The 15,348-nt window shown below is 40.1% G+C and overlaps 1 long non-coding RNA gene and 1 pseudogene across 3 annotated transcripts in view; one reads left to right on the top strand and one right to left on the bottom strand.

Annotated features, from left to right (window-relative positions):
* The window catches only part of ZNF337-AS1 (ZNF337 antisense RNA 1), a 54,030-nt gene that overhangs the window by 5,406 nt on the left and 33,276 nt on the right, over window positions 1-15,348 (bottom strand). The window contains exon 5 of one of the 3 annotated variants that reach the window (NR_126467.1): window positions 2,325-2,558. The exons of the other annotated variants lie outside the window; for them this stretch is intronic. This is a non-coding gene — a long non-coding RNA (ZNF337 antisense RNA 1). Of the gene's footprint in view, window positions 1-2,324; window positions 2,559-15,348 lie in introns of those variants that run through there. 3 annotated transcript variants of the gene reach the window in all.
* MED28P7 (mediator complex subunit 28 pseudogene 7) lies at window positions 2,265-3,009 on the top strand (annotated as a pseudogene).

The raw sequence follows: 15,348 nt of genomic DNA, 5'->3' as shown, positions 1-15,348 counted from the left end.
CTGCACTCAAGCCTGGGCAATAGAGCAAGACCTTGTCTAAAAAAAACAAAAACAAAAACAAGGCTGAATTAGTTTCTGCAACATTTCTAATGTTCTAAAAAAAAAATCCTAATAGGAGCAACAAAGTAGAAATTGTGTCATTTCACTGATTGTGCTGATTTAAATGGGCAATGCACAATATAATGATGAACAGGAAAGGTTGACATATATACACAACCACACACACATATATATATAATATATACATAATTTTATTTATATGTGTGTGTATATATATATATATATATTTTTTTTTTTTTTTTTTTGAGATGGAGTCATGCTCTGTTGCCCAGGCTGGAGTGCAGTGGCACGATCTCAGGTCACTGCAACCTCTGCCTCCTGGATTCAAGCAATTCTCCTGCCTCAGCCTCCCAAGTAGCTGGGATGACAGGCGTGTGCCACCATGCCTGGCTAATTTTTGTATTTTTAGTAGAAACAGGGTTTCACCATATTGGCTGGACTGATCTCAAACTCCTGACCTCGTGATCCACCCACCTCAGCCTCCCAAAGTGCTGGGATTACAGGCATGAGCCACCGTGTGCGACCTTATATATATTATTCCACAGAAAAAAAGAAACTTTGTTTTTATGGCATGTTTTCCTCTACCTTTTGAACAAAGGTCCCCATTTTCATTTTGTACTGTACCTGCAAATTATGTTCACAAGGGAATAGGTGCTGCTCTCCCAGGAGCTGGTCCAACCTCCTCTCCCAGCCACCAGGCCAGTAATTATGATTATGTCTAAGGATAACCCAGTGCACAAGTGTTGGTCTTGATAAAGGAGGAAAATGGTACATAGATACCTAAAGAATTGCCAAGAACTACCCAGCATGTATCAGCAGAAAGTTGAGTCCCTAATGTGACACTATTCCTCAAGAAAATAAACTACTTACTGGGGGACAAATTGACTACTTCAGCCACCTGCCAGCCTCTAAAGTACAGTGGTTCAACCTCACAGGGATAAATACCTGGATTTATTCCAAACATGGATTTGCCTTTCTAGTCCTGTAAGGCTCAGCCAGCACTATTATTCACGCCTGATCCAAAGACATGAAATACCAAGTAATATAGCATCCAACCCAGGAGATTCACTTCATAGCAAAAATGCTACTGGAGTGTAACAGTAGATAACAACTCTAAATATATATATATACCCAACAACAGAGCACTCAGATACATAAAGCAAATATTATTCACTGTAAAAATAAAGATTCCAAGACAATAACTATTGAGAACTTCACTCCACTGTCAGCATTTGATCGTCTAAACAGAAAATCAACAAACACTGGATTTAAACTGCACTTTAGACCAAATGGACCTAACAGACATTTTCAGAATCTTTTATCCAACAGCTGTAGAACACACATTCTTCTCATCAGCACATGGAACATTCTAAAGGGTAAACCATACATTAGGCCACAAAATAAGTCTCAACATTTTTTTTTTTTAGACACGGTCTCGCCCTGTCATCCAGGCAGGAATGCAGTCCTACAGCTCACTGCAGCCTTGAACTCCTGAGCTCAAATTATCCCCTCTTCAGCCTCCCAAGTAACAAGGACTATAGGTGCACACCACAATGCCTAGCTAATTTTCAACTTTTTGTAGAGACAATGCCTCACTATGTTGCCCAGTCTGGCCTCAAATTCCTGGCCTCAAACAATCCTCCCACTTGAGGATCCTCAGATTCCAAAATACTAGGATTACAGGCGTGAGCCACCAAGCCTGGCCTCAACAAATTTTTAAAAATTAAGGCTGGGTGCGGTGGCTCATGCCTGTAATCCCAGCACTTTGGGACACCAAGGCAGGCGGATCACAAGGTCAGGAGTTCGAGACCAGGCTAACACAGTGAAACCCTGTCTCTACTAAAAATACAAAAAATTAGCTGGGCGTGGTGGTGGGCGCCTGTAGTCCCAGCTACTCAGGAGGCTGAGGCAGGAGAATGGCGTGAACCCAGGAGGTGGAGCTTGCAGTTAGCCGAGTTCACGCCACTGCACTCCAGCCTGGGCGATAAAGCGAGACTCCGTCTCAAAAAAAAAAAAAAATTGAAATCATATCTAGCATCTTCTCAGACAACAATGGAATAAAACTAGAAATCAATAACGAGGAATGCAAAGGTTCATTAGAGACTTATGAACAATTATACACCAACAAAGTGGAAAACCTAGAGGAAATGAATAAATTCCTAGATGCATTTTATATAACAAGATTGAATCATAAAGAAATACAGGCTATTCGAGACACGGTGGCTCCACTAGGTGGTATGTTCTCTTGGCAGCCACCAGGGCCCCCACTACCCACATTGGAGCTCCGGGGCCAGGCTTCACTTCTTCAGGCAGCACCAGATACTCTGAGACCTTCTCACAGTACCTGGTGAATGAATTGGAGCCATCTTTCGAGGCTTGCTTTGCTTCTCTGGTGAGTCAGGACTATGTCAATGGCACTGATCAGGAAAACATTCAAACTGCTGTTGATCAGTATATCTAGGAGTTTCTGGATATTGCAACACAGGCAGAATGTTTTCCTACAAAAAACGATTGCAATTACTTGTCCAGACACCAGAGCAAGTTACCAAAGAGGATGTCTCAGAACTAAGGAATGAATTACAACAGAAATACACACTGGTCCAGAAGCACTTGACAAAGCTGAGGCACTGGCAACAGGTGCTGAAGGGCATCAAATGTGCAGCACAGAACACCAGGCAGCAGCCCTCAGGGCTCCTCCACGTACCTCAAGCAGGCATCTGCCAACATCCCTGCACCTCAGAAACTGACCTGAGCACAAAGGCCAAGGCCGTCAGCCCAAGATTGGGCTGGTGTCTGAGGCAGCCCTGTGCAGACAGTTTGCCACAAATCCCTTCTTATGAACTTGGCATTTTGAACGAAGGAGTTAGTTTTATGCTCCCACCTAAATTTTTTCCACTACTTTTATAAGCTGTTAATGTCTTGAGTACTTTATAAAATGCCCAGAGCTTGAGTAAACCAAATAAATTCTTTTTCTCTTTAGCACAGTTAAGACTGTTAGTGTGATGACACTTACAGATTCTATGTTTTTATTTTTGTATGACTTTCATCTTTTTGTGTGTGTTTCCTATTATTTCATCTGAGGGAAAAAAAATAGCCTAAGAATCAGGGGATGAGGATTTTGGTTGTAGGCCTTTTATGATAATTACCCTTCAGTGGTAGTATAGAAAAATATGTAAATTTGCTGTGTTTCAAGGCTTCAGAATACCTCAAAAGAGGAATCTAATGCAACAATGTTTGTAATGCTTCCAAAGCTCTAAGAATGGGGATTTTTTGTGTGAATAGGTCAGAACAGGATTAAGGTTTCCTGGGTTAGGGTAGTCACATTACAGTAGGATCCTTAGGTCAATGCTGACTTTTATTCAGGGTAAGGTTATATTTTGTGTGGTTTGTTTTTTTTTTATAGGGAGGGACATAGTAGGATCAGTGATATGCTAAATTTTGTCATGTTCTGCAGTAATGAATCCATTTAAGTAATGGGGCAGACCCTTTTCTCAGTAACATGGCAGTTGGGGCATAGGTGAAGTATGAGAGGCTAAAGCTTGCTCTGATTATCTCTTTTTGTTTTCAGTTTTGTTTGCCTATATTGTTTTTGTTTTACATTTTGGGAAGGGAGAGATTTTCCATTAAGTAAGATTTTTGCTGTGGATTTGATTCCAAGGGACTGGGGTCTCAGAGTGGAGGTGGGCTTGCGGTATGATCCTTGGCTACTTAACCTCCACCAAGAACATGTGGTGCCTCTGCCTTTAGGAAGATATTTTGTTCTCTCGTTCGTTCCACAGGCCACCTCAGATACTCTTTTGAATTGCTGTTAAGAAATACTCACAAGCATTGTTTCCTGCTCTTGTTGCGTGAGGTTTTCCAGTGTTTTATGCAGTCTTTTATTAGATTACATATTTTTACTCAGAACAAATGCTTCACTGTCATCTGAGCAGGGAGTACTCCTGTGGCTCAGTGTTTTGGCTCACTTTGTTTTCTCCAGCCTTGAAGGTCCCTCCCACACACACACACACATTGACATCCATTCATATCTTGATCTGACCTAGATGCCACCTGGTCCCTAAAGCCTCCCAGCACCCTTTCTGCTGCATCCCTAGGGCACCGGACTTTTATCTCTTCTATTGCCCTTGTTAGGTTCTCCCTTGTGGGTCAGTCATTTGTATCTGTCTCCCTGCCCATCACTAATTGTACAACCATAAAAATTAAGACATTATTCCCCTTGAATATACCAGGGCCATATGTTATTTATCCTTATAAATGATACCTATTACTTTATTTTATTTATGTATATACAGTATCTCGCACTTGAACCTGTGATTAATCACCTGAGACCAATGAATCCCCTCTGTTAGAAAGTATAGTTTAAACAAAGCTTTTAAAACCCACATTATATGACCTCAAGGTTGTTAGCCTAGTCATCTAATGGTGATTCAAAACTCTGATTAGCAGCTTTAGATTTCTTGATTAAAGACTTAAATAAACTAAGTTTTAGGCTTTTTTTTTTTTTTTTTGAGACAGAGTCTCACTCTGTCGCCCAGGCTGGAGTGCAGTGGTGTGATCTCGGCTCACTGCAACCTCCACCCCTCCAGGTTTGAGCAATTCTTTGCCTCAGCCTCCAGAGTAGTTGGGATTACAGGCATGTGCCACCACGCCCAGCTAATTTTTTGTATTTTTAGTAGAGATGGGGTTTCACCATTGTGGCCAGGCTGGACTTGAACTCCTGACCTCGTGATCCACCTGCCTCGGCCTCCCAAAGTGCTGGGATTACAGGTGTGAGCCACCGTGCCCGGCTTTTCTTTTTTTTTTTTTTTTTTTTGAGACAGAGTCTCGCACTGTTGCCCAGGCTGGAGCGCAATGGCACCATCTCGGCTCACTGCAATCTCTGCCTCCCAGGTTTAAGCAATTCTGCCTCAGCCTCCCGAGTAACTGGGATTACAGGCTCCCACCACCATGCCCAGCTAATTTTTTCTGTATTTTTTAGTAGAGATGGGGTTTCACTGTGTTGGCCAGGCTGGTCTCGAACTCCTGACCTTGTAATCCGACCACCTCGGCCTCTCAAAGTGTTGGGATTACAGGCCTGAGCCACCGCAACTGGCCAGTTTTGGGCATTCTTTAAAAGGGGTTCTTAGTGAAAAGATTGGAAACTATTCTATTTAGTGCTCAGTGAAAATACTTTGAATTAATGTATATACCAGTTATTGCCATTTGCCTATTTAATTCAGAAGTTTTTTTAAATAAATAGCAATTTTTCAATCTTGAAAAAAAAAAGGAATACAAAACCTGAACAGACTAATAATAAGTAATGAGGTTGAATCCATAATAAAAAGTCTCCCAACAGTGAAAAATCTAGGACCAGATGGCATTGCTGCTACATTCAACTTATAAAGAACAACTAACATTAATTCTCAAATTATTCCAAAAACATGAAGAGGCACGAATTCTTTCAAACTTGACCTCTGAGACCAGCATTACTCTGATACTAAGGAAACAACAGCCAAAAAAAGTCCCTAATGAACATACAGTAAAAATCTTCAAGAGTACTAGCAAACTGAACCTAGCAACACATCAAAAAGATAATATACCATGATCAATGGAATCTACCTCAGGTATGCAAAGGAGGTTGAACATATGCAAATCAATAAATGTGATATATCACATCAACAGATTGAAAGACAAAAACTATGATCCTCTCAATAGATGCAGGAAAAGCATTTTATATAAGTTAACATCCCATCCTGATAAAAACTGTCAACAAATTAGGCATAGAAAAAACATACCTCAACATAATATAAGCCACATATTACAAACCCACAGCTAACATCATAATGAATAGGGGAAAGCTGAAAGCCTTTCCTCCAAGAACTGAAACATGAATCAAATGCCTACTTCCACCTCTCTTATTAACATAGTAGTGGAAGTCTTAGAATCAGGCAAGATAAAGAAATAGGCATCCAAATTGGAAAACAGAAAGGCAAATTATCCCTCTTTACAGACAAGATGATCTTAAATATAGAAAATCCTAAAGACTTCACCAAAAAACTTAGAACAAACAAATTCAGTAAAGTTGCAGGAGACAAAAATCAACATACTAAAATCAGTAGCATTTCTATACACTAATAATGAACTAGTTGAAAAATCAAAAAAGCAATCCCAACTATAGTAGCTACAAAAAAATTAAATACCTAGGAAAAAATTTAACAAAGAGATAAAAGGCCTAGGCAATGAAAACCAAAAAATACTGATGAAAAAAATTGATGAGGACACAAACAGAAAGACATGCCACGCTTAAGGAGCAAAAGAATTAATGTTGTTAAGATGACCATACTACCCAGAGCAATCTACAAATTTAATGCAATCCTTATCAAACTACCAATGACATTCTTCACAAAAATAGAAAAAATACTCCTAAAGTTTGTAAGGAACCACAAAAAATCTCAAAATAGCCAAAGCAATGTAAGCATAAAGAACAAAGTGGGAGGCATCCTTTCTATATATACTAAACCAATGAAGAGAATAAATAGCACAGAAAAACATTCATGTATTTACAGCCAACTGATTTTTAACAGTCACCAGGAATATACATTGGGTAAAGGACACTGTCTAATAAATGGTACTAGGAAAACTGGACAGCCATATGCAGAAGAATAAAACTATACCCCTATCTTTTACCATATGCAAAAAAATCTGCTAAAAACAGATTAAAGACTTAGTGTAGGACCTGAAATCATAAAACTGCTAGAAGCAAACATAGGGAAAATGCTTCAGGAATTGGTCTAGGCTAAGATTTTGTGACGGAGACCTCAAAATCACAGCCAACAAAACCAAAAATTGACAAATGGGATTATATGAAACTAGAAAGCTTCTGCATAGCAAGTAAAACAACAGAGTGAAGAGACAACATATAGAATAGAAGAAAATATTTGCAAACTATTCATCTTGTAAGGGACTAATATACAGAATATACAAGGAACTCAAACAACTCGACACAAAACCCAAATAATCTAATTAAAAAGTGGCAAGGGATCTGAATAGGCATGTCTCAAAAGAAGACAGACATACAAATAGGCAACAAGTATATGGAAAAATGCTCAACCTCACTAATCATCAGGGAAATGCAAGTTACAATGAGAGATCCCCTTACCCCAGTTAGGATGGGTATTATCAAAAAAGACAAAAAAAAATAATGGCAAGATGTGGAGAAAAGGCAATTCTTATACACTGCTGCTGGGAATGTAAATTAGTACAGCCATTATGGAAAATGATATGGAGGTTCTTTTTAAAACTACAAATTGAACTGCCATACAATGAAGCAATCTTAAAACTTGGTATTTATCCAAAGGAAAGGAAATCAGGCAGGGTGTGGTGGCTCATGCCTATAATCCCAGCACTTTGGGAGGCTGAGGCTGGTGGAACACTTGAGGTCAAGAGTTCGAGACCAGCCTGGCCAACATGGTGAAACCCTGTCTCTACTAAAAATATAAAAATTAGCCAGATGTGGTGGTGCACACCTGTAATCCCAGCTACTTGGGAGACTGAGGCAGGAAAATCATTTGAACCTGGGAGGCAGAGGTTGCAGTGAGCCAAGACCACGCCACTGCACTCCAGCCTGAGTGACAGAACGAGACTCCTCAAAAAAAAAAAAAAAAAAGGAAATCAGTATACCAAAGGAATACATGCACCCTGATGTTTATTGTAGTAGCACTGTTCACAATAGCCAAAACATGGAATCAACCTAAGTATCCATCAGTGGATGAATGATAAATAAAATGTCCTATATATACACAGTGGAATATTATTCAGCCATAAAAACATAATTAAATCCTGTTATTCTACACCAAAATGGATGGAACTGGAGGTCATTACGTTAAGTGAAATAAGCCAAGCACAGAAACACAAACATCACATATTCATATGTGGGAGACAAGAAAGTTGATCTCATAGAGGTAGAAAGTAAAACAATGGTTACCACAGATTGGGAACAGGACAGGCCTAGGGGAATGAAAAGGCATTGGTTAATGGGTAGGAACATAGAGTTAGATGGAAGGAATATGTTCTAGTGTTTGATAGCACAGTAGGATGGCTATAGTTAACACCAATATATTGTATATGTCATAATAGCTAAAAGAGAAGATTTGAAATGTTCCCAACACAAAAACAGTAAACGTTTGAGGTGATGGATAGACTAAGTACTCTGATTTAATCATTTCATATCGTATGTATACATTCAAATATCACATGTACTTCATAAATATGTGTCGTTATTATGTATCAATAAAACTTTTAAAGGAAACTATTATGCTAAGCAAAGAAACCAGACATAAAATACCTCAAATTGTATGAGTTTACTTATTAAATTTCCAGAAAGGCAAATCTTAAAAATAGAAAGTATATTAGTTGTTGCCTAGGGGTGGGAAGGTTAGATGACTACAAAGTGAACTTTTGGGAGTGAAGGAAGTGCTCTAAACTAAATTATGGTGATTATCACACAACTGTATAAACTAAAACTCATCAAACTGAATACTTTCCATGGTTAAATTTCAAAGTATGTAAATTATACCTCAATAAAATGTTCTTTTTTAAAAAGGATTACACCGGGCACAGTGGCTCATGCCTGTAATCCCAGGACTTTGGGAGGCCAATGCGGGCAGATCACTTGACCTCAGGAGTTCGAGACTAGCCTGGCCAACATGGCGAAACCCTATCTCTACTAAAAATACAAAAATTAGCTGGGCATGGTGGCGTGCGCCTATAGTTCTAGCTACTTGGGAGGCTGAGGTATGAGAATCACTTGAACCTGGAAGGCGGAGGTTGCAGTGAGCCAAGATGGTGCCACTGCACTCCAGCCTGGATGACAAAGCGAGACCCTGTCTCAAAGTAATTAATTAATTAATTAATTAATTAAATTTAATTTAATTTAAAAGGATTATACTCCATGACCAAGTGGGACTTATTCCTGGAATGCAAGGATAATTGAGTATATAAAAATCAATCAATGTAATACACTGCATTAACAAATTGAAGGGAGAAAACCACATGAACATCTCCATTGATGCAAGAAAATTATTTGACAAAATTCAACACCTCTTTATGATTAAAACAAAATTCAACAAACTAGGAATAAAAGGAATAAAATGTCATGGGAAGGCAGTTTCTGTAAAGGAAACATAATAAAGGCCATATATAAAAACCCACAGCTAACATCATTCTTAATGGTGAAAGACAAAAGTTTTTCCTCTAACAGCAGGAACAAGGCAGGGATGTCCACTTTTATCACTTCTATTCAACATAGCACTGGAATTTCTAGCCAGAGCAATTAGGCAAGAAAAAGAAAAGGTATCCAATTTTGAAAGGAAGAAAAATCATCTGTTTGTAATTATTATCTTACGTGTAGAAGATTCCACACAAAAAACTGTTAGAACTAATAAATAAATTCAACAAAGTTGCAAAATACAAATACAAAAAAAAAAGTGGCCAGGCGCGGTGGCTCACGCCTGTAATCCCAGCACTTCGGGACGCCGAAGTGGGCGGATCACGAGGTCAGGAGATTGAGACCATCCTGGCTAACACGGTGAAACCCCCTCTCTACTAAAAATACAAAAAATTAGCCAGGCGTGTTGGCGGGCGCCTGTAGTCCCAGCTACTGGGGAGGCTGAGCCAGGAGAATGGCGTGAACCCAGGAGGCGGAGCTTGCAGTGAGCCGAGATTGCACCACTGCACTCCAGCCTGGGAGACAGAGCGGGGCGACGGAGTGAGACTCCGTCTCAAAGAAAAAAAGAGGTGACCTTGAATTGGCCAACCTAAGTCTTCTTCAGTGTCTGAATAGAGCTGGAAATAGAAATTATGTTCTCATCTAAAAAATTTTAAAATTACATTGTTCAGGCACCAAATTTTGGCAATTCCCAATCTAATTTGCATTATCTATGCAAAGACATCTAAACAGATTGTCATTGAATAATTTAAATATCCAGAGGCACAAATTAGTATTTCCCTGCTTCATTCCTATCCCAAGGAAATACCTTCACCATGGCAAAACTTTCTCCAATAAATTTGCCCTGATGATGAAATTCATTTGCTTCTGCAAACTGATCAAATATTTATCTAGACACTCACACACACCTCCCACCCCACCCTACTTCTCTCTCTCTCATTCACTCACAATTTGGCTTACACTTTTTAAACTTTTTTATTTTTTTGAGACAGGGTCTTGCTCTGTCACCCAGGCTGGAGTGCAGTGCTGCAGTCATGGCTCATGCAGCCTTGACCTCCTAAACTCAGGTGATCCTCCCTCCTCAGCCTCCCAAGTAGCTGGGACTACAGGCACATGCCACCATGCCTGGCTAATTTTTGCATTTTTTGTAGAGACTAGGGTCTCCCTATGTTGCCCAGGCTGGTCTCAAACTCCTGGGCTCAAGTGATCCTCCCACCTCAGCCTCCCAAAGTGTTAGGATTACAGGCATGACCACCGTGCTATAAGAGAAAATTTTACTATTTTTAATTGGTTAAAAAAATATATCTAAGACATAGCCTTTACATTTATTTTGATGTTTTAAAAATTGCAGGCTGGATGCAATAGCTCATGCCTGTAATCCCAGCTGAGGCAGGAGGATTGCTTGAGCCTAGGAATTCAAGACCAGCCTGGGCAACATAGCAAAACCTCATCTCTACAAAAAAACATATATAAAAATTAGCTGGGCGTGGTGGTGCATGCCTGTAGTCCCAGCTACTTGGGAGGCTGAAGTGAGAGGATCGCTTGAGCCCAAGAGGTTGAGGTTGCAGTCAGCCAAGATGGTGCCACTGTCCTCCAGCCTAAGCAACAGAGTGAGACCCTGTTTCAAAAAAAAAAATTATATTAAAACACACAACAAAATTTACCAACTTGGTCATTTTTAAGCATATATTTTAGTATCATTAAATATATTCACAATGTTGTGGACCAGGTCCCCAGAACTTCTGCATCACGCAAAATGGAATCTCTATAGTCATTAAACAACTCCCCATTTTTCCCCTTCCCTCCACACCCTAGTAAATACCATTCTACTTTGTGTTTCTATGAATTTTTCTACTTTAGATTACTCATGTAAGTGAAATCACACAGTCATTTTGTGACTGGATTCTTTCACTTAGCACTCAAGATTCATCCATGTTGGAGCATGAGACAGGATTACCTTCCTTTTTAAGTCTGTGTAATATTCCATTGTGTATATATTATGGGCCTTCCGTATCCATGGGTTCTGTGTCTCTGGATTTAACCAAACTCAGATTTAAAATATTCAAAAATATGTTAAATTTCACAAAGTTCCAAAAAGCAAAAATTGAATTTTCCCTGAGCCAAATACTAAGTCAAATCCACACCAATAAAGTTATATGTAGGCACTGTACTAGGTATTATAAGTAACCTAGGAATCTAGGTATTAAAGTAATCTAGGATTTAAAGCAGTGGTCCCAAGCCCCAGGCCGTGGATGGGTACCAGTTCATGGCCTGTTAGGAACCGGGCCACAGAGCAGGAGGTGAACAAAGGAGCCAGCAAGTATTACCGCCTGAGCCCCACCTCCAGTCACATCAGCGGTGGCATTAGATTCTCATAGGAACATGAACCCTATTCTGAACTGCACATGCAAAGGATCTAGGCTGCACACTCCTTATGAGAATCAAACTAATTCCTGATGATCTAAGGTGGAACAGTTTCATCCGAAAACCATCCCCCTGACCCTGTCCATGGAAAAATTGAGCCTGGGAGGTCAAGGCTGCAGTGAGCCGAGATTGAACCACCGCACTCCAGCTTGGGTAACAGAGTGAGACCCTGTGTCAAAAAAAAAAAAGGAATGAAAAGAGAAAGAAAATTACAAGAAAGTAATTATAACATCTGTTACAACGTGGATGAACCTTGAAGACATGCTTAGGAAAAACAGACAAACACAAAAGGTCACATATTGTATGATTCTATTTAAAACATTCAGAGTAAGTAAATCCATATGGATGAAAAGAGCACTGGCAGTTGTCCGGGGCTAGGAGGAGGGAGAAATAAGAAGGAGGTGCTTAACAGGTAGGTACAGAGCTATATTTTGACATGGAATTGTTTGGAACTAGATGGAAGCAATGGTTGAGCAACACTGTGAATCTACCAACTGCCACTGAGTCGTTCTCTTTACAATGGTTAGTTTTATATTATATAAAACTCACTTCAATAAAGAAATCAATCAATGTATAAAACACTGAATGTCACCTCAAATCCCATGATTAAGGCAGAGACTCATTGGCCCCATGATTAAATGGCTTCCTCTCCATTCACTCCCAAGCCTGCATACATTTGTCAGTGTGAATCTTAGCAGGGTGTGACCCACACCCTTTGCAGCAACCAGCTCAGAAAGGCAAACCAGGAACTGCTGTAGCAACAAACCCACACCAGTCAGGACATGGCAGTGATGCAGCTTCTCTAATTTGTGCCCTGGCTTCCAACTCAGAACCAAGCAGAGAAAGCCAAATGTACTCCCATAACCAGTCATATGAGATGCCTGAATGCTTATTAGACACTTCCAGTGTCCCATGTCAGTAGCCTCCAGTCAACAGCACATCTGATGCCTTCCCTTTTGTTCACTACAAAGCTTTCCCACTTTGTCAAAAGTGGCTGACTCTCTTGCTTTAGCAAGCACTTTCTAAGTGGGCCCTGATTGTTCCCGTTTGAGTTGTCTTTATTTCCACACAGCTGTCAAGCCAGTACCAGGGATTTTCACATTTCGGTGACCTTCAGTGATAATCACATCTACCATCGCACACCACAGTACACAGACACTCTCTCCTAAACAAAACGCTTTCTTCAACAATGGGTGAACATCCTATGTACAAATGATGAAGTAAAAACACAGTGCCATTCAGATCTTTACTGATATTTAAACAAACCATAGAGGAAAATTCCAAATAAACAATACAGACACAAAAAAATAAGTGCTGGTTGAAACTACTGAGAAGTGACCTGCAGTTTAGTGAATCAAAGGTTTTCCTTATTCTTTAAACACTTTTTAATAACAGGCATGTCCTTCCTAGAGAAGCACATACCTTTCTCCTAATTTTATTCTTGCCAAAGATTATATCGTATTTCTTTACAATTACATACTCTCCTCCACACCTGTGGTTATGTCTTACTTTTGGTTTTCTTTTTCTTTTTCTTTTTTTTTTAAGAGATGGGGCCTTGCTCTGTTACCCAGGCTATTCCAAGTGATTCTCCTGCCTCAGCCTCCCAAGTAGCTGGGACTACAAGCAAGCACCACCACACTTGGCTAATTTTTGTACTAGAGACAGTGTCTCACTCTCTTGCCCAGGCTGGTCTTGAACTCCTGGTCCCACGTATCTTCCCACTTCAGGCTCCCATAATGCTGGGATTTCAGGTATGAACCACCATGCCTGGCCATTTGGTCCTTTTCCAGCTTCTTACATTGGTATTAAACTCATTTATTTGCTTCTTCTTGTTTTTATCAAAATATCTTTCAGTTTCCGAAATGTATGCTGAATGTCATTTCCTTTCTTTATGCTGCAATTTTTACTTTTACTTCTTCTGTAAGCTAAGACTCCAATGTATGTTTTCAATGTCCAAATGGATACATTTTTTGTTACCTTTCATTTTTAAATTTCTGCATTGTGGTCAATGTCTCTCGCATTACTTCTGCCTTTTCAAATTTATAGTTTATTTTTGAAACCAAGTACCTGATAAGGACTTCTGAATTTTCATGTTTTAGAGTAAACTGTAGTATCTAAAAGGAAAGTGTAGGTGTGTATATACACATACACAGAAATCAACTGTTCATATTTCATCTCATTTTTTCTATTGTTTCATACTCTTTAATATTGTCTCATTTTTATTTTAAAACATCTACTAAATTATATATGTAAAGAAAACATACAAAATACACTTTTTTTTACTATTTATATTACACTTATAAATAGATGTGTTTAAAAACACATGACAAGAAGTTCCAAGATGGCTTCAATCCCCACCACAGAAAACCAAAACCAAATATGCACCTCCAAACTCCTCACCAGCAACAACCCGGAGCTCAAGTACAAGGGTGAGACCATTCCCAGGGCCACAGAGAAGAGGAAAAACTTCAAGCAAAGGACAGGAGAATTGGACTTCCATATCCATGATGCCCCTCCCCCTATTATGCCTGGCACCAGTCTCCCTGCAGCTCATGGTTTCTACAATGGAAAAAGTGAAATTGAGGTTGTCAGCCACTTCTCCAACTTCTTGGATTCCCAGGCAGGAGACCTCTCCATGCTTTAACCCATGGGTAGCATCGTGACTGCCTGAAGGGAGAATTAACCCTAAGGACAGGCAGAAACAAGCAGGGTAGGCAGGACTACCACCCCCAGCCTCAGAAACCGCTTTGTAACTCAGCCAAAGGAGATGCTAAATCAGAGTGTCTGTTCACCAGCACCATGCTGTAGGAGGGAGTTCCCCAGGTCCCCTGGGCATGAACTCCTAGACAATCTTCCCTCACTGCTGGGATAATATCTTTAGGACCTCCTCCATTTAGGACAGGCAGCGCTCTGACCACTTAGAAGAGAAGAGGCAAACCTGGGCTTAACGTGCCACCTACAGCCACAGAGAAGGCAGCGACTTAGTAGCAAAGATTCACCAAGCAAATATGTTCAATAAAAAGCAAAATAAGCCAGAGAAAACTAGAATAAATAACTAATCTTCCATTGCAAAAACATATATATATACCCACAAGAAACAACAGTAAACAGACGAATATGACCTCCCCAAAAAGACAAACCAAAAATCCAGAGAGTGACCCTATCTAGATGGCAACTTGTGAGCTCTCTGACCAGGAATTCAAAATAGCAGTTTTGGCTGGGCAAGTGGTGACTCGTGCCTGTAATTCCAGCGCTTTGGGAGGCCGAGGCAGGCAGATCACTTGAGGTCAGGAGTTCAAGACTAGCCTGGCCAACATGGCGAAAACCCATCTCTACGAAAAATACAATAATTCAGCTGGGGTGGTGGCTGGGGCCTGTAGGTGGGAGGGATCGCTTGACCCCAGGAGGTTGAGGCTGCAGTGAACCATGATCGTGCCACCGCACTCCAGCCTGGACAACAGAGCAAAACTCTGCCTCGATAAAAGAAAGAAAGAAGATAGAGAAAATTACCTCCAAAGACCAAATCTAAGAATGATGTTCAAGAGGAAGCTGACCAAGAGCAAAGGGTAGAAATCTTCTTCAAAGAAATGATAACAGAAAATGCCAAAAACAGGAGAAAGAGATAAATATCCAGGTGCAGGAAGGTGTTAGTACATCAA

Source organism: Homo sapiens, chromosome 20, assembly GCF_000001405.40.
Source record: "Homo sapiens chromosome 20, GRCh38.p14 Primary Assembly".
NCBI classification, from domain to species: Eukaryota; Metazoa; Chordata; class Mammalia; order Primates; family Hominidae; genus Homo; species Homo sapiens.
This window is presented reverse-complemented; position numbering and strand designations above follow the sequence as displayed.